The following is a 20,365-nucleotide window of genomic DNA, read 5'->3' on the forward strand; positions in this document are numbered from 1 at the left end:
TGTAATATGATTTAAATATGTGTGCTAATGCTTCACCAATGATTAGGAGTATCTGCTATATGCAATATGTGATTTGTCCTTACTTATATTATCAATAATTATGACCTTTTAATTTCTCCACTCTTTTAAGTATAAAACTTAGGTGCAGTTGACAATGTTTTTGAAAAAAATTGGGTCTTAATATTTCCCAACAGAATTACGTTTTAAAATACAAACGCCTCATTTTATACATGGGTGTAATATTTCAAAGATGGTCTAGTAGAAATTTAACCTCATTTAAAGCACAGACTGAATAGGATGGTTGGAGACTTTATTATTGCTGTAACTCAATGCAGTTTAAATGCTACAAAATTAAGTGATATTGCAACAAAGTAAGAATTGTAAAGGCAGCCAAACTCTCTTAATCTTTAAGTCTTTTAGGGAATATGTAAGAGCTAATGTAAATAGGGGCACTGTGCATAGATGGATATAGAGCAGATTTCAGCAGAGAAAGCATCTTCATGTCAAAGTAAGTACAAGGGATGAAAGGGACTAGTCAACCAACATTCTAGTTGTAATTTTTTCTCACCACTACTTTTCTCTTGTCTTATTCATAATTGCCCTTCATTGATCTTGCTGACACCACTGATTATTATTAGCTGCTTTAATATATGTAGTGCAGGTCTCAGTGACTAATACAAATTGTGAAGTCCTAAATTAGGGAGAAGTAGTTGGGCTGGTGGGACAAAGGGAAAGCAAAATGAGAAAGCAGATAAGTTTTAAGTCTGCCTTTCTACATAGTCCAGAACACATAGTCTTCTTGTGCCCAGTTATCACAAGACCCTCAGCTGATGGAAAAATGCAAGTTAGCTCACTGCAACCTTGGTGTTATCAGTACTGCATAGAGCCCTCTTTAGCACAAAGCAGAAGCACCATCCTATAAAATCTCCAGCAAGCCTTTGTGTCCTTGCAGTCAGCTCCTCTCTTGCTGACTTGCCCATTGCTTCCTTGCAATGTATTTTCATACTGTCTCTAATGAAACTGCCTTTCTTTACCTACAACTGTCTTTGTAAATTCATTTTACTGCTCATACAATACTGGCCTCAGTTGCAACCTGCAACACAAATATCAAAAAAGGAGGATGCTACCTGGCAGCATTATGCAAGAGAATGGAGACTCACAAATATGTGTAGGAGTATGTGTGTAAGTGTAAGAATATGAGTTACCAAAGATGGCCAAAGGTACCTGAGAGCAACCAGTGTGACTGTTGGAGAAAGAGGAAAATTGAGAAAAATCAGGATTCCATGGGTAGGTTAACTAGTGAATGAGAATATGGAAATGAAAATACAGGAAAAAGAGAAGCGTGTAGCTTACTAGTTGATGGAAACAAAGGTACAAAACATGTAGGATAGTGGGTTTTAAACATTTTGATTATTATGTTAACAATTAGGACTAACACCTCAATGGAACACTGAGTTCCCATAGCACTGTTTGAAAACATCTTAGTGTATGTCTATACATTTAGTAAATGTCTGAAGAACCTCCATGTGATATGGTAAACACTGGTGACACAGAACGTTAATTCCTATGTATGAGATTAGGCTACCAACTTATTGATGAGAACAAATAATTATTGTGTCAGAAAGTATATCAGTAATATTTGTAGTCGATAAATTTATATTAGTAATAAAAGTTAAATGTTGATAGGAAAATAATCACTTTTAATGTTATATATACATATAATTTAGATATATGTATGTTTAACTGGCAACTACTCAACTATAATTTTAATTACTATTTTATGTCAGAACCTTAGAGCTTAATATATGCAGAGATTTGTTTCTAGATAATAAGTTTGTTTTCATTTATCTTTATCCCTTTATCCATTTCTCTCATGACCAACTGAAAAGGCACTCTCTCACCAAGTGAGTGGTTGGAGCAAGACAGTGTCTCGAGATTGAAACAGAACACGATGGAGCTGGAAGTTATAGTTCTGAGATCATCAGGAATCAGAGTCAAATCATTAACTAGTGATTATATGCCACACAAGAAATCCTCTCTGGGTTAGAAATCTTAAAATAAGAGGCTGTTATATACATTTGTCGAGATAAAATTATTGATTAGTATTTATAAGACTTTGATTTCATAAACTTAATAGACTACATATGCAACTTAGGATATAATTCCAAAAATCTAGCCACAGCACATTTGTGTGTTTCAACAAAGTAATGGCTTTTTTGTTATTAGAATAAATAAAGTTACCTTGTGAGAAATTGATTGATCTAACTACTTGTGAACAGGGGAAAGAAACGTTGTTAATTAGAGGCCATCTGTTGCAAATGTGATCTGGCCAGAATTTTGTTTAACATGTGGAACGCTTATAAATTATCTGAGTTTGCACATTTACCTTTATTGCGGAGTCTCCCAGCCTACTCATTAGATCACCCGAATGAGGTACACAGCAAACTCATGTAACTATCTAAAATAAAATTCCCCACATTTAGGTGTTTGGAATTAGCTATGAAATAATAAAGTGTCTCTCAATAAGATAAAATATTTTTATAACACTTTCTTAAAAACATGGCCGGCTTTAAAGGAAGGGAGAGTTCAGTTTTTAAATTAAAGTAGGTGTTAAATTGACCTAAGGTACCTTGCAGACATTTAGCCCAGCTTCCTCCCTGGCAGAGGAAGAATTACCACCTAGAGAAAAGCACTAAACTGGCAAAAACAGAGCCCAGTCTTCGAACTTGCAGGCCAATTTCCTTTGCATATACCATGCTACCTAATGATCGAGATACTCTAGAGTAATTCTGAATCCTGACCTCTAGAGTTGAGAGCAATCAGTGGACAAGTAAGACATGGCACTATGGTGCAAAGAACCCCCACTTCATCACATACAAAATTCATCACATTGGGCAACACACAATAATGGGACTTGAAGTAAGCTAACAATACGTTATCTTCTTCAGAGAGAGTTAAAATTTAATTTGAATTAAGTAGAAAATTAGAGACAGTGCAAAAGCATTCAAAATTAGCATTTGCTTATCTTAAACAACTCTTAAAATTAAGTAATTTTGTTAGTTCAGCTATTTTAAAATATCAATAATCCAGCTAAAAGTTTTACTAGCTGTTAGCAGACAAAAACTAAGGGAGCTTTAAAAAAACACTGTCTGCTTTTATAATTATTATCCATTACTGAAATCTTCTAGAGGAGAGATGAGGGCTGGAGAGTAGGCTGCGTTTAGGAAATATTACAGAGGCAGAAATGAGGATTTCAGGGCAGCTACATGCAGCACCTGAAGATCCCCTGAGGCAGCCTGTCTAAGTTGACTGCTATTTAGAGTGCAGCCCAGAGAGTTTCAGATTTCAGGTTGCTACCCATCCATGGGATAGGAAACCAATTCAACGGGTCACAACCAGTATTTTAAAATGAAAAAGACTAGAAAATAGGAAAAATAAATCACAAATACTAAGGGACAAGGTGTTTTGAGAAACATTTGGTTCAGTTGTACATACGTACATGTAATGTTTATATGTGTTTCTTACAGTGAGAAACCATCAGCAAAGTTTGAAAAACATGTATAGACATTAACTTAAGTAGAAATGAAGGGTGGAAAGATAAGGAGTCTAATTAAATTGAAATTTCTCTTTGAGATGCCAGGGAGACATTCAAGTGGATTTATTTTCCCTTTTATACTGGATGCCAAGTGCAGAAAATGGAGTTAATTCTCTTCCTTGGTTCATAGCACATAATCATTACTGTCCTTGGGAGAATTTTTAAGTTATGTTTCATTTCTAATTGGCAAATAATAATTGAATAATTTTATGAGACAATATGTGATGTTTTGATGTATTGTTGTGGATACATTGTCAATATGCTGTGCAATGAAACACCAGAATTTATTCCTTCTAACTGAAACTTTATACCAATTGACCATTTCCCCCTTCCCCATCCACTTACCTACCCCACAACCTCTGGTAACCACAATTCTATTTTCTATTTCCAAGAGTTTGACTTTTTTAGACTCCACTTAGAAGTGAGATCATACAGTATTTGTTTCTCTGTGCTTGACTTATTTCACTTAACATAAATGTTAAGTGCAAATGACATATTTTCCTGTTTCTTTTAAGGCTGAATAGTATTCCATTATGTATATCTTGCCACTTTTAAAAAAATCCATTGATTTTTATCTAATGATAGACACAGGTTGTTGCCATGAATTGGCTATTGTGAATAGTGCTGCAATGAACTTGGGAGTATCGACATCACTTCAACATACTGATTTGAATTCTTTTGGGTATATATTTTGTAGCGGAATTGTTGGATCACATGGTAATTCTATTTTTTGTTATTTAATAAAGATTCATGCTGTTTCCCAAAATGGCTGCACTAAATTACAATACCACCAAGAGGGCATAACTGTGCCCATTTCTCAGCATCATCACCAACACTAGCCATCTTTCATCTTTTTGATAATTGCCAAACTAACAGGTGTGAGGTGATATATCTTTGTGACTTTAATTTGCTTTCTCTGATGATTAGAGATGTTGAACATTTTCATATAACTATTGGCAATTTGTGTGTCTTCTTTTAAGAAATGTCTATTTGAGTTCTTTGCCCGTTTTTAATAGGATTGTTTTGGATTAGTTTGAGTTTCTTGTATATTTTGTAAAAGAGCCCATTATCTGATGTATAATTTTTATACTTTTCTTAATCTGTGCATTTTCTCTTGACACAATTGTGTCCTTTTGTGCAGAAGCTTTTTAGTTTGATGGAATCATGTTTGTCTATTTATGCTTTTGTTTCCTGTGCTTTTGGGATTACACACAAGAAATTATTGTCCAGACCAATACCATGGAGATTTCCCCCTGTGCTTTCTTCTAGTATCTGTAGTATAGATTCAGGAATTGCATTTAAATATTTAATCCATTTTCCTTCTGTACATGTATATCTGGTTTTCCCAACACCATTTTTAAAGACACTGTGCATTGTATATTATTGGCACCTTTGTCAAAAATCAATTGACTCTGATGTCTGGGTTTATTTCCAGGCTATCCATCCTATTCCACTGGTCAATGTGTCTGTCTGTTTTTATGCCAGTACCATAATGTTTTGATTACTATAGCTTCATAATATATTTTGCAGTCAATTTGTGTGATGTCTCAGCTTTGTTCTTTGGTCAAGATTCAGAAGATTTAACCAAAAGAGAAAAGAAGAATTGAAACCAATACACAAATGTTATAGTCAGCTAGATAATAATTAAAGATAAATAAATTTCCATAGGAACTTATTAAAGTATTAGCTTTACTAATTTTCCTCAATACCTCACCTAGTATTGGTATCCTAATTCTTACAGTTTTTAGAGTATACTTTTACCAACATCTATGTTGTATAGTTTCTTAGGGGAAAATATGTATTACTGAGTTATCAGTATTGCAAGAGGCCAGCAAATTGCTGCTATGGGTCGAGCACATTATATACATTACCTGAAAAGCATGGCTAAAGACCAGACAGGAATTATTTCTTCTGATTAACAGGTGAGAAAACCATCACTTGGAGAAGTTATGGTAATTTTCTCAAGCTTTCTTAAAAGACCGGATACAGAATCAAGTCTTTCTGTCTTTCAGAATTAGACATTTGCTTGCATGCAAATCCAGAGATTTATGCAAAGGTCCAGAGAAGTTACTATCAAAACTATGGAAAATCAATTTCTCATGGTGTTATAATTCATTAATTTATTCAAATAAAGCTTCCAGTGGATTAATTTTTGGTCCTTTTTAAAAAACTCTAAATCCATGGTAGAACACTAAGGCTAGATTTATATAGTTTATTAATAAACTCCTACATGGGGATTACTAGGTATTATTAAGTGCTCTCTGTACTTTAGAAATATTCACTCATATAATCTCCATAACACTTTTATGACATAGATATTATTATTATCATCTCTGTTTGACGGAAGCACAGAGAAGTTTGGTAATTTATCTGTGATTACACAGCTTGTAAATGGCAGAGTTGAGTGTTGAACCTAGGCAATCTTGTTGAGGTCAATGCTATTTATCATTCACTATTCCATCTCATGAATTCATCTGGCAAATTTCAAGGTGATTATGAAGGGTCACCAAATATATATATTCCTTAATATATTGGTGAAAAAGTAATTGTGATTTTTTTCTATTAAAGGTAATGGCAAAAACTGCAATTACTTTGGCATCAACCTATAGCTTTCTCTTGTATGTGAAACTATTCTTTTGCCTTATGTTTGGTTTCAGACACTAAAAGCAACTAATGTTGACACTTAAATACCACTTGTGTCATTTCCCAAATTTGTTCTGAGAAACTGCAGTCCCTGAAAATACACAGTGATATGGTTTGGCTCTGTGTACCCACTCAAATCTCACCTTGAATTGTAATAATCCCCACCTGTCATGGGAGGGATCCGATGGGAGGTAACTGAATCATGGGTCTGGGTGGGTCTTTCCCATGCTGTTCTCCTGATAGTGAATAAGTCTCACCGGATCTGATGGTTTTATAAGGCGTCATTCCCCTGCACAAGTTCTCTCTTGCTTGTGGCCATGTAAGATGTTCCCTGCTCTTCCATCATGATTGTGAGGCCTCCCCAGCCCTGTGGAACTGTGAGCCAATTAAACCTCTTTCTTTTAAAAATTACCCAGTCTTGGGTATGTCTTTATTAGCAGCGTGAAAACAGAATAATACATACAGCAAATTAATATTTCCCTAGTTATACCAATGTGAGTAATGCTACAACATATACTACACTCTTGGAAACTCACAATGCAAAAGTTTTACAAAAAAGAAACCATTTTGCACTTTACTTAATCCAGAGTTTCCTAAACATAGTTCAATGTTAATATATTAAAAATATTTAGAACACAGATTTTGGACAATGTCTTATAGTGGTATGAACTTAGGATCTGGTGTTGAACAATATAGGTTCGATTCCTGGACATGGAAAAAAAAAAACACAAAAAACAAACTTCTAAAGACTCAGTTTTCTTATTTGTAAAATGAGAACTGAGACAGCACCTTACTTGAAAGATAGCTGGATGAAAACACAACTCAGTTACTTAGGAATCTTATGTCTCATGCAAATTACTATAAAAATGTTCACAGACTGGTTTCAGTTGTTTTAATTTTAACAATAGATTATTAATATTTCTAACCTCTCCCCAACACTCTTGCCAAAAGACGAAATCTCCTTCCCTCATCATGAAACTTTAACAAGCCCTGACACCTACTCAGGCTAAGAATTGGAAAAACCCATTTGACTTGGTTGCTGCTGCTGATTTGAGAGCTGAATATCCACCTACACACCATGGAGAAGTGCTTGGGTCTAAAGTGTAATTGCACATAATTTTTTTTGAGAAAATTGTGCCAAATATCAAAAGCTCCAACTTTATTTATTTTTAAATCCCTGTGCTCTCTTCTCAAAAAGCATCAACATTATTCTCCTTAGCACTCATTTGTGTTGTTGACATTTCTTGTTTAAATTCTAAGCCTACCAGGTCACCTTGAGAACTGCTCACCAACAGAGACTTTTTTCCCAAAGAAGTTTATCCTGTGTTGATAGCAAAATGCTACTATCTTCAAAGCCAAATTCTTTAAACAAAACAAAACAAAAATCTTTTTGATTTCTTCTCTTACTGTGAGCCTGATGGACTTGGTCTCCAGACACCAAACTGTTTTTCCTCTTATTTTTATCCTCTTTTTACTACATTGTACATGTCACTAAATTCACTACCACGAAAGATGGACAAAAGTCATGCTTGTCCCAAGTGAATTTTCAAGCAGCAACAGAAACGTCAGACAAAAGAATAGTTTCTTGATTCGTCTATATTCTGAATCATAAATCAAATGAATGCAGTAAGCCAATATACCCTGCAGCCCAAGCTACATTATTTTCATGTAGTTCATATCTCTACAACATACCCTGCAAGCAAAACTACATGATTTTCACGTAGTTTGGGTTGCAGGGTATATTATAGGGATATGGATACAGGGAGGAAAGGAAAGCTTTATTTGTGGTCTTTGATTTGGGGACAGATGATAGGCACACCCTACTGTTTCTTTTCCCACTCATTCTTTTTCTTTTTGCTTTTCTTCCCTTTGTCCTCTCCACCAAGTACAGAATAGATGGGAGGAATTTTGTGAATGGTGTGCATACCGTGGAGGCCACAAGAGTACCCGATCCTTTGTTTTCCTTCTCTCTTGCATTCTGTGTTCTTTGTGTGTGACTCTTGTCTAAACTTCTGCTGAGCTAAGTCATATTCACAGGAAATGTTGAAAACAGGTAAATTTCAAACTGGATATTGGGTGTGTACTGGGGAGAAGACAGAGACTCTCTACCATGGCACAACTCCCAGGGTCAACAATCTCTAAGCTTCAAGGATCAATATGCAATTTGTTTTATAAAATAAACAAACATAGTTTATAATGAGATTACATAAAATTCTAGCAATTTTTTAAGAAGATTTTTTTTGACATTTCACACTTACAGAGGCCTAGCGAGAGTCAATAACAGATATTGTTAAAAGTTCAGACTCTGATGTCAGAGAAATATTGCCCTACAATTTAATAGCTGATTCATCTCGGGCAAGTCACTATATCACCCCAAGCTTCACTTTTTACCAGATGCAAGATGAAAATGAAATACCTACTTCATAAAAGTTTTGTCAGGTTTAAATGAGACAAAGTATAAAGGCTTGCATCTAGTAAGCAGACAATAAAATTTCATAAAAATTATCACCTTTTCTCACATTTCAGTCCCTAAGTAATTACTCTCCTCTGACATTTATGTTGCTTTTGTTTAGGTGAATAAGTTAAGGCATCTCTGTTCATTGGTTTGACTTTTTGGAAAATATGGAACTTAGGTCTAAGGTTCAAAAATCCACTGAGAGTATTAATCTTATGTATTATTTTAAACCATATAATCACTTACTGATAAGTACTGAAAATAAAAGATTGGAAGAATATGTTTAAAAAACAAAACAAACTAAACAAAAAACAACTGATATTGTGATTAGCAGATATTATTTACATGTGCCTCATTAGAGAAAACTGAAATTGATTATATAACTGAATACTACTTTTTGTATGAATTGAATTTATATAAATTATATTTAATGCAAGTATTAACTTATTATATTTAATTTTAAACTCCAAGCTCTGCTACAAAGGAAACATCCCCATACTACCAGGTCCCAGCTGAAACAAAGAAAAGAAAACAAAATCTACAGCTTGGAGTCGGACTCCAGGCTTGAGTTCAAGTAAAGCTGTCTTCACTGCACTAGTTATGCAACGCTTAGGCAACTTAGAAATATTTTTTCAGTTTTTTATGTATAAAACGAGATCTCTTTCTCTTCCTTTTTCAATTATTTTGAGGATCTAATGTGATATTATAAGGAAAAAATACATATATTTATTCAACAACTATTTGCTGAGAACATACATTGTACAGGCACTGTACAAGGTGCTAAAAATAAACTGCCATATACATAAATTATAATTCCAAGTAATAATTTTCTCATAATATAATTTAGACCCAACTCACAATATAAGTCCCACTCAATAACTTAGTATTTGTAAATAATTAAGGGTAGGACCTAAGACCAAAAAAAAAAAAAAAAACAAAAGTTCTCAGACTGGTTCCAGATGTTTTAATTTTAACAATAGAAGAAGAAAATAACTGAACAGAAAAGTTCAACAGGTGGGTTCAACAGCAGACTAGGTCAAGTAAAACAAAGGCTGAGTGAAACTGAAGATATGTCACTGGAAACCAATCAGAGGAACAAAAAAAAAATCAGTAAAAACAGTGAAGGTAGTTTAAGGAACTTATGAAACACTGCCAAACAAACTAATATATGCAAGTATGGGGTTACTGTAAGGAGCATAAAAAGAGAAATTACCTAAAAGCTAATTCAAAGAAATGCTAGCTGAAATTTTTCCATTTCTAGGGAAAAAACAGACATACAGATCTCAGAAGTCTCTGGAATACCAAATAAAATAAATCCAAAGAGACCCACGCTGATATACATTATAATCAAATTATCAAAAATAAGAACAGAATTTTGAAAGCAGCAAGAAAAAGCAACTTGTTATATGTAAGGGAATCCTAGACAGGAGTACCAGAGAATTTTTCAGAAGAAACCTTGAAGGCGTGAACGGAGTACAGTGATATATTTAAAATAATAAAAGGAAGCAAATGTCAGTTAGGAATACTATACACAGACAACCTTGTTCAAAAATCTTGATTCAAAAATTGAGAGGAGATAATGACTTTCTGAGACAAAAAATAGCTGAGGGAGTTTATCACCACTAGACCTACCTTACAAGAAAGGCCAAAAGGAGTATTTCTAATGAAATTAAAGGATGCTAAATAGCAACACCAGAATATAAGAAAGGATGAAACTTGCCTGGAAAGGTAAATATTATCTTCATTTTAAGATAATATTTTATTATTTTCTTAATAAAGATAATATTTTATTACTATAATGATAGTGGGAAAATCAATTTTAATGCTACTACAAAAGTTAAATTGCAAAAGTATTACAAACAACTATACCTAAATTATGTTTATTGATACATAATAAAATAGATATAAATTGTGACATCAGTAGCATACAATGTGGGTAGGAGAAAAGGTAAAAGCAGAGAGTTATTGTATGCGAGGGAAATTAAGTCGTTATTATATTAAGATTGACTGTTGTAATTATGAAAAAAAAAATTAGGTAAGTCCCTTGGTAGTCAGAATGAAAATAGGTATAGAAGTTACACAAAAAATAAGAGAAAGGAATCAAAATTTATCAATACATAAAACCATCAAAATACATTATGAGAAGGCAAGAGAGAAAAAAAAAGACTAAAGAACAAGACAAACAGAAAACTGTTAACAAAATGACAATAGCAAATTTTTTCCTACAAATAATTACTTTAAATGAACTGAACTCTCCAATAAAAACAATATACAGAGAGACTGGAAAAAAAACAAATAAACAAAAAAATCAAGATCCAACTGCATACTATCTATAAGAAATTCACCGTGGATTCAAGGACACATATAAGCTGAAAGTGAAGAAATGGAAAAATATATACTACACAAATGACAAAAACACAGTTTAGGTACTGTGACCTCCTCACAAGAATCATAATGGTGTCTAAGATGGTTAATTATTTCTAGAAAATTTTCAGTTTACTTTGCTTAGATTCAGCAGGGGAATCATTATTTATGGGAGCTATGGCCTTAAAAAAATTTCTTACAAAAAGACTCGAAATTTAAAATTACTTCTTCATCCGTAAGCTACAGAATGAATGTTGGCTTAGCAGGCATGAACACATTAATCTCCTTGTACATCTTCATCAGAACTCTGATGAAGTGGTGCAAGTTTGTCAGAACTCTGGTGAAAAGGTCTTGGGTGACTAGGTACATTTGTACCTAGTAATATTTTAGAAAAAATGTATATATATTTTACTGAGCAGTAGGTCCCAATAGTAGGTTTGAAATAGTCAGTAAACCATGCTGCAAACAGATGTGATGTTATTCAGGCTTTGTTATTCCATTAATAGGGCAAGTAGATTCAGGGAGAGCAGATTCAGCAAAATTCTTAAAGATTTTCTGAATAGTAAATAAACATTGACTTCAGCTTAAAGTCAGCAGCTGCATTAACCCCAACAAGAGAGTGAGCCTGTCCTTTGAAGCCAGGCATTGACTTCTCCTCTTTAGTTATGAAAGTCCTAGATAGCATCTTCTTTCAATGTAATCTTGTTTTGTCTACATTAAAATTCTGTTTAGTGTAGCCACCTTCTTCAATGATGTTAGGTAGATCATCTGGATAACCTGCAGCTTCTACATCAGCATTTGCTACTTCACCATGCACGTTTATATTATAGAGATGATGTCTTTCCTTAAACTTTATGAACCAACTTCTGCTAGCTTCAAACTTTTCTTCTGCAGCTTTCTCACCTCTTTCAGCCTTCATAGAATTGAAGAGACTTAGGACATTGCTCTAAATTAAGCTTTGGCTTAAGGGAATGTTGTGACTGGTTTGCTTTTCTATTATTATCTGGATCATTAAAACTTACTTCACAGCAGCAATAGGCTGTTTTGTTTTATTATCCATGTGTTCAACGGAATAGCACTTTTAATTTCCTTCAATAATGTTTTCTTTGCATTCACAACATGTCTAACTGATACAAGAGGCAATGATTTAGGCTTGTCTTGGCTTTTAACATCCCTTCTTCACAAAGCTTAATCATTTCTGGCTTTTGATTTAAAGTGAGTCATGTGACCCTTTCTTTCATTTGAACACTTAGAGGCAATTGTAGGTTTGTTACCTACCCTGATTTAAATGTTGTTGTATCTCAGGAAATAGGGAGGCCAAAAGAGAGGGAGAAAGAGGACAACAACTGGTTGGTTATAACCAACCAGTTATAACAGACACAACATTTATTGGTTAAGTTTGTTGCTTTATATGGGCACAATCCATGGTGACAGTAAACAATTTTAATAGTAATGTCAAAGATCACTTATGAAAGATCACAGCAGATGTAATAATAATCATGAAAAAGTTTGAAATATTGCAAGAACCACCAAAAGCTGACACAGAGACATGAGGTTAGCACATGCTACTGGAAAAATATTGTTAACAGAGTTACTCAACAAACATTCAATTTGTAAAAAATGCATATGTGTGAAGTACCATAAAGAGAAGTATACTACACAGGCATACCTTATTTCATTGTTCTTCACTTTATGGTAGTACACACACACACACACACACACACACACACACACACACACACACACCGTCATGTGTGACAAGATGGATGAACCTGGAGGACATCATGTTAAGTGAAATTAACCGGAAACAGAAAGACAACGCCACATGATCTCACTAATATGGAACATCTTTTCTAAAATAGAATAGATATGATAGAAGAGAGTAGAACAGCGTATAGCAGAGAGTGTAGGTAGATGCGCAGGGGGAGCAGAAAATGGGGTGAGGTTGGTCAGTGGGTAAAAAATTACATTAGAAAGAATAAATAAATTCTGATGTTCTATTGCATAATGCAGTGATAGTGTTTAACAGTAAGATAGTATATATCACAAGATAGCTAGAAGAAAGGTTTTTCAATGTTCTTACTACAAAGAAATGATAAATGCATGAGGTGATATATATACTAAATGTTCCGATTTGCTCACTTTACAACATACGTATCAAAACATCAAATTATGATCCATTAATATGTAAAATTACAATGGATCAATTGAATTTTTTAAACAATTATACCAAGTGTCTTTTCCAGCTACAATGACATGAAATTAGAAATTAATTACAAGAAAATGAGAAAAATTCACAAAGACATGAAAACTAACACACTTGCACAAACTGAGTTAAAGAGAAAATCAAAAGGGTATTTTACAAAACCCGAAGATAAAACAAAAACAAAAACACAACTTATCAGAACTTACAGATGCAACAAAAGTAATACTAAGGCGGAAGTTTATATTAATAAATTAAAACATTTCTACTTTAAAAAAAGAATTAAGATCTTACTGAACTTTATAACTCAAAGAACTAGAAAAAGAAGACAAATATAGCTAGCAGACGGAAGGGAAATAATAAAGATCTCAGCAGAAATAAATCAAATAAACGGTAGAAGAATTCAATAAAACTGATTGGTTTTTTGAAAAAAAATATGCAAAATCAACAACCCCTTAGTAGACCAACTAAGAAAATAAGAGAGAACACTAAAATAAAAACAGAAATTAAAGGGAGATGTTAAAGAGATGCCTCAAAAATAAAAAAGAAAATTGAGGGATTAATAGAAACAATTATATGCCAACAAATTGGGTAACCTAGAAAAACTGAATAAATTCTTAGAAATATACAACTTGCTAAGAGTTAATCAAGACGTAGAAAGCCTGAACAGACCAATAACAAATAAGGAAATTGAAGTAGAAATAAAAAACCTCCCAACAACAGAAGCCCAGAACCAGATGGCTTCACAGCTCAATTATATCAAATATTCAAAGCACTAATACCAATTCTTCTTCAACTCTTCCAAAATGTACAAGTAGTTAGAACACTTCCAAAGTCATTCTATGAGGCTAACACTGTAATCAGTGGGAGAAAAGCTGAAAGCTTTTCTCTGGTTCAAGGCAAAGATGCCCACTGTTACCACTTCTATTCAACATAATTCTTGCTAATAATTCATTAGTAAGAGCAATCAGACAAGAAAATAATTGAAGGCATTCAAAGAAGGTATACAAGCAACCAACATGAATGTGATAACGTGCTCAGCATCACTAATCATCAGGGAAATACAAATCGAAACAACAATGTGAGTGATAGCACCTCACACCTACGATTGGCTATTAACAAAAAGATGACAAGTGTTTGTGGATATACGGAGAGAAGGAAACCCCTGTACACAGGTGATTGGAATGTAAGTTGGTACAGCCAGTATGGAAAACAGTATGAACGTTCCACAAAAAACGTAAAAAAGGACTACTATATGATCCAGCATTTCCTCTTTTGAGTATATATAAAAAGAAGATGAGATCAATACCTCAAAGTGATATCTGCACCCCCATGTTTGTTGCAGCATTATTTACAATAGTCAAGATATGGAAACAACCTAAGTAACTTTTGATGCTAGAATGGACAAACTATACGTGAGGTAGACGCATACAATGGAGTATTATTCAGCCATAGAAAAGAGGGGAGATCCTGTGACTTGAAACAACACAGATGAGGCTGAATGACATATGCTAAGTGAAATAAGTCACACATAGAAGGGAAAATACTACATGACCTCACTTATGTGTGAAATATTAAAAAGTCATATACAGAGAAGCAGAGAATAGAACAGTGGTTACCAGGGTTGGGAAAATGGAAGAAAAGAGATGTTGGTCAAAGGGTACAAAGTTACAGTTAAGTAGGATGAATAAATCTAGGGAACCCATGTGCTGCATAATTAGTATAGTTAACGTTAACAATACCGTATAATATACTGGAAATTTGCTAAGTGAATAGATTTCACGTGTTCTCACCTCACACACACACACACACACACACACACACATAAACACACACACACGTAACATGTGAGGAGATAAATATGTTAATTTGCTTGGCTATAGTCTCATGTTGTTAACATTAAATATATAAAAATTGTACTAATTTTTTTAAAATTTAAAAAATGTTAGGACATTAAGGAAAGCCTTTTGGGTTACTTACTGGAATAGACACTTTCAGAGAGGAATGATAAATTATTTTCTAGGTTTCCACCTGTTCTACTATCCTTTAGGGGAAGAGATTCTAAAATATCACAAATACAACCTACTAGACAAATAATTTTATGTTATCATGCTTTATGGAATGCACAGTGACTAGTCTGTTGTGTCAAGTTGGCTTCTAATGAAGAATATTTTCACCAAAAATACATATTTAATAATAACAAATGATAATGATGTATATTACAGATAGCATTATTTTACCTTAAGGCATCATCTCATTATTTTTATCTTGATTATTTTGACAATTTCTTAAAACTTTTACGCCTTAATTTATGGATGAGGTAGCTAAGACACAGAACTTGAACCTTTTGCTTTTTGATTTTTAAACTTCAACGTAAACAAAGCACTTTTAAGAACTAATTATATCATACTGAATGGGCAAAAACTGGAAGCATTCCCTTTGAAAACTGGCACAAGACAGGGATGCCCTCTCTCACCACTCCTATTCAACATAGTGTTGGAAGTTCTGGCCAGGGCAATCAGGCAGGAGAAGGAAATAAAGGGTATTCAATTAGGAAAAGAGGAAATCAAATTGTCCCTTTTTGTAGATGACATGATTGTGTATCTAGAAAGCCCCATCCTCTCAGCCCAAAATCTCCTTAAGCTGATAAGCAACTTCAGCAAAGTCTGAGGATACAAAATCAATGTACAAAAATCACAAGCTTTCTTATACACCAATAACAGACAAACAGAGAACCAAATCACGAGTGAACTCCCATTCACAATTGCTTCAAAGAGAATAAAATACCTAGGAATCCAATTTACAAGGGACGTGAAGGACCTCTTCAAGGAGAACTATAAACCACTGCTCAAGGAAATAAAAGAGGATACAAACAAATGGAAGAACATTCCATGCTCATGGGTAGGAAGAATCAATATCGTGAAAATGGCCATGCTGCCCAAGGTAATTTATAGATTCAATGCCATCCCCATCAAGCTACCAATGACTTTCTTCACAGAATTGGAAAAAACTATTTTACAGTTCATATGGAAGCAAAAAAGAGCCCGCATCGCCAAGTCAATCCTAAGCCAAAAGAACAAAGCTGGAGGCATCATGCTACCTGACTTCAAACTATGCTACAAGGCTACAGTAACCAAAACAGCATGGTAATGGTACCAAAACAGAGATATAGATCAATGGAACAGAACAGAGCCTCAGAAATAACACCGCGTATCTACAACTATCAGATCTTTGACAAACCTGAGAAAAACAAGCAATGGGGAAAGATTCCCTATTTAATAAATGGTGCTGGGAAAACTGGCTAGCCATATGTAGAAAGCTGAAACTGGATCCCTTCCTTACACCTTATACAAAAATTAATTCAAGATGGATTAAAGACTTAAATGTTAGACCTAAAACCAGAAAAACCCGAGAAGAAAACCTAGGCATTACCATTCAGGACATAGGCATGGGCGAGGACTTCATGTCTAAAACACCAAAAGCAATGGCAACAAAAGCCAAAATTGACAAATGGGATCTAGTTAAACTAAAGAGCTTCTGCACAGCAAAAGAAACTGCCATCAGAGTGAACAGGCAACCTGCAAAATGGGAGAAAATTTTTGCAATCTGCCCATCTGACAAAGGGCTAATATCCAGAATCTACAATGAACTCAAACAAATTTACAAGAAAAAAACAAACAACCCCATCAAAAAGTGGGCGAAGGATATGAACAGACACTTCTCAAAAGAAGACATTTATGCAGCCAAAAAACACATGAAAAAATGCTCACCATCACTGGCTATCAGAGAAATGCAAATCAAAACCACAATGAGATACCATCTCACACCAGTTAGAATGGCAATCATTAAAAAGTTAGGAAACAACAGGTGCTGGAGAGGATGTGGATAAATAGGAACACTTTTACACTGTTGGTGGGACTATAAATAGTTCAACCATTGTGGAAGTCAGTGTGGCGATTCCTTGGGGATCTAGAACTAGAAATACCATTTGACCCAGCCATCCCATTACTGGGTATATACCCAAAGGATTATAAATCATGCTGCTATAAAGACACATGCACACATATGTTTATTGTGGCATTATTCACAATAGCAAAGACCTGGAACCAATCCAAATGTCTAACAATGATAGACTGTATTAAGAAAATGTGGCACATATACACCATGGAATACTATGCAGCCATAAAAAATGATGAGTTCATGTCCTTTGTAGGGACATGGATTAAATTGGAAATCATCATTCTCAGTAAACTATCGCAAGAACAAAAAAGCAAACACCGCATATTCTCACTCATAGGTGGGAATTGAACAATGAGAACACATGGACACAGGAAGGGGAACATCACACTCTGGGGACTGTTGTGGGGTGCGGGGAGTGGGGAGGGATAGCTTTAGGAGATATACCTAATGCTAAATGACGAGTTAATGAGTGCAGCACACCAGCATGGCACATGCATACATATGTAACTAACCTGCACATTGTGCACATGTACCCTAAAACTTAAAGTATAATAAAATAAAATGAAATAAAATAAACTAATTATAAAGGGCGCTTTTTATTCTATCGCCTTTTCTTGCTCCCTTTCTTGCCCTCTTGTTTTCTCGTGCATGTGTGTGTGTGTGTGTTTATATTGAGAATGGATAAAATGCTTTTCCACACTAGACTATTACCAATATCTTTACAAATTGAAATGACTTACAGTGGCAATTAGTTCTCAAATTACTTTCAAATGCCTTATCTTGTCTGATACACTCAATAATGTTAAATGTCTCATGTCCCAGCTAGAATCAAAGTACTAAGGAGCAGAATTTGAATCAAGATTGGGAAATACCTTTAGGGAAAACCATGGAAAGTATTCAGTCTATTATTTTGGAAAAACAAACAAAGAAGCAGAGAAACAATGTAATTTGGAGTGGAAAAGTGCCCTATAGCAGACGGTATTTTCTAATGCTCCCAGAGGAAAGGATCCTGTTCTCACAGTGGATATGATATGTGTAAGTGGTTCTAATGGTGGCTAAGATTGGTCATGGGTTAGAGACGGGAGTAGAAATAAAATTAGAGAGCAATCTTGAGGTCCTTTTTATTACTCAGAAATTTCAAGCATGCCTAGTTTAATACTATTGCACTTTAGATGGCTTCAAAAATCTAAACTAACGGCAGTCTCTTGCACCTTGTTAATATTTTCTTATCTGTTTATATGCTTATTAGAAATTCCTGGAACTATTGTTGATGCCTGATAAATTCTTAAACTAAGAGAACCATAAAGTCAAGCTCTATTAAAACACTGCAAGGAAACCCTTGAGCCTATGAAATTTACATTCCACTGCGCTGATCACATTCTTTTTCTTAATGAAGAAACATTTCCACTCAAGGGTTCTCACAAGATCAGCACTACAAATTTAGTAGTCATGAACTCAGAATGTCACCTCTTGAAACTAGTGAATTAGTTGAAATACCTCAACTAATGTTTGCATATAGTAGATTCCATTCTTCAGTATCCCTTCTAACGGAGAAAAGAAAAGACAAGAAAATACAGATCTGAAGATATTTGAAGGATGTATATTTGACATTAAAAGTATTTTCAATGATGATACCAAATTCGTGAGACCTGAATCAAATCATGAGAACTCACTGTAAAGGTCTAGTTCATTAGAATATCTTTATCCTGTTTTTGTTCTCAAACTTAGAGATAAAATTGTTTTCACAGCACTATAAAAAGAAAAAAATAAATGAGCATGTGTACTCTCTCTCTTTCTCCTCCTTTTTATTATTATGTACTTACTCACGTTTTCCTTAGGGCTGAAAGGTGGTTGTTCTATACTAAAAGGCATCTCTATCAATGGTTTTTGGAACAAATAAAGCATTTGCTTGTGTTAGGGCATAAGCAACTTAATACTTAAGTGGGGCCTTTCATTCCATGCTGCTTTACAATTGTTAAACATTTTTACATGAATGATCTCATATCATTCTCAAACCAATATGAAAATAAAATTGGCAAATTGTTTTGTTTTGTTTTGTCTTTGTTTTTCTAATTAGAAATATTGAGACAGAAAAAAGAACAAAAGCCATAGCCAGACAGACTCACCTAGTAAAAACCAAAGGGCCTAACTATTACTTTATTGCTTTTTCAATTACTTAATTTTTTAAAATCTGTATTGTTAGGACTTTGTCTAAATCATAGTATTCAAACTCTTGTACCTGTCATTCAAGATATTTTCTAATCTAGCCAAAACTTATTGGTTAAACTTTATTTCTGAACATTATTTTGAATCATCCAGCTCAGTTAAGAGATCTATTATCTCACAAACATCCCTCTTCCTCTCTGTGTTTACCTGCACCTGGAATGTATTCTTCCTGCTCCCAAACTGCCCCCCCCCCCAATAAAGCTAAAATTCACCTGAGTTGTAGAAAACTCCAGCTGATATAAAATAAACTACGAAAGTGGCTTTAATACTTCTGAACACACAATAGCTAAGACCCAAAAGATACTCCACTATGCTTAGCCCTAAACTTCAACAGTTAAATCAACACAGAGGAGCACAGGTCTCCTCTGTGCTCCCATGCCCAATTGTTACCAAGTCCCTAGTTGCTGCCACAGAACTTTCATAAAAATTTCCCAGGAACAGATTTCTCTCTTATCTGAACTTCAGAATGTAATTCCTGTACTGCTTATTCCTCATTTATTGGACACTTCCTTTTAAATTTCTTGTTGTATAATGGCTTATGATGGTATTTATCTGTGTACATGCCTCCAAACATAGATAACTTCTCCCTCACAAAACACTGTACTTTTCTTTGGTGAAAAGAATATGTGTTATACCATTCTTTGGTAATGGTAATTTTCCTGTGGTAACTGATTGACAAATACATGTTTGAAAAATGAATGCAAATGTCAACAAAACAGACAAAACTCAAAAACAAAATTTGCTGCAGATAACTATATTTTGGCAAATCAACTAGTATTCCTGATTAACTAGCACATTTTATTGTAGTTCAGTTAAAAAAATACAATTTGATATTCATAGGTAGTTTGGGATTTGTTTTTTCTTTTTTTAGAGATGGGTTCTTTCTCCCTTGTCCAGGCTGGAGTGCAGGGGTGTGATC

At 34.2% G+C, this 20,365-nt stretch overlaps 1 long non-coding RNA gene across 5 annotated transcripts in view, besides 1 other annotated feature; it reads right to left on the reverse strand.

The window, feature by feature from the left end:
• The window catches only part of LOC105374497 (uncharacterized), a 291,527-nt gene that overhangs the window by 86,586 nt on the left and 184,576 nt on the right, over window positions 1-20,365 (reverse strand). The window lies entirely within an intron of this gene.
• Window positions 19,543-19,837: a silencer, noted in NCBI's record as "tiled region #3356; HepG2 Repressive DNase matched - State 9:DNaseU". NCBI's record gives its function as "represses a minimal TATA promoter and a strong SV40 promoter by Sharpr-MPRA in HepG2 cells {active_cell/tissue: HepG2}" and the evidence as "EXISTENCE:reporter gene assay evidence [ECO:0000049][PMID:27701403]".

The sequence above is a fragment of the Homo sapiens genome, chromosome 2 (assembly GCF_000001405.40).
Source record: "Homo sapiens chromosome 2, GRCh38.p14 Primary Assembly".
Lineage (NCBI taxonomy): Eukaryota > Metazoa > Chordata > Mammalia > Primates > Hominidae > Homo > Homo sapiens.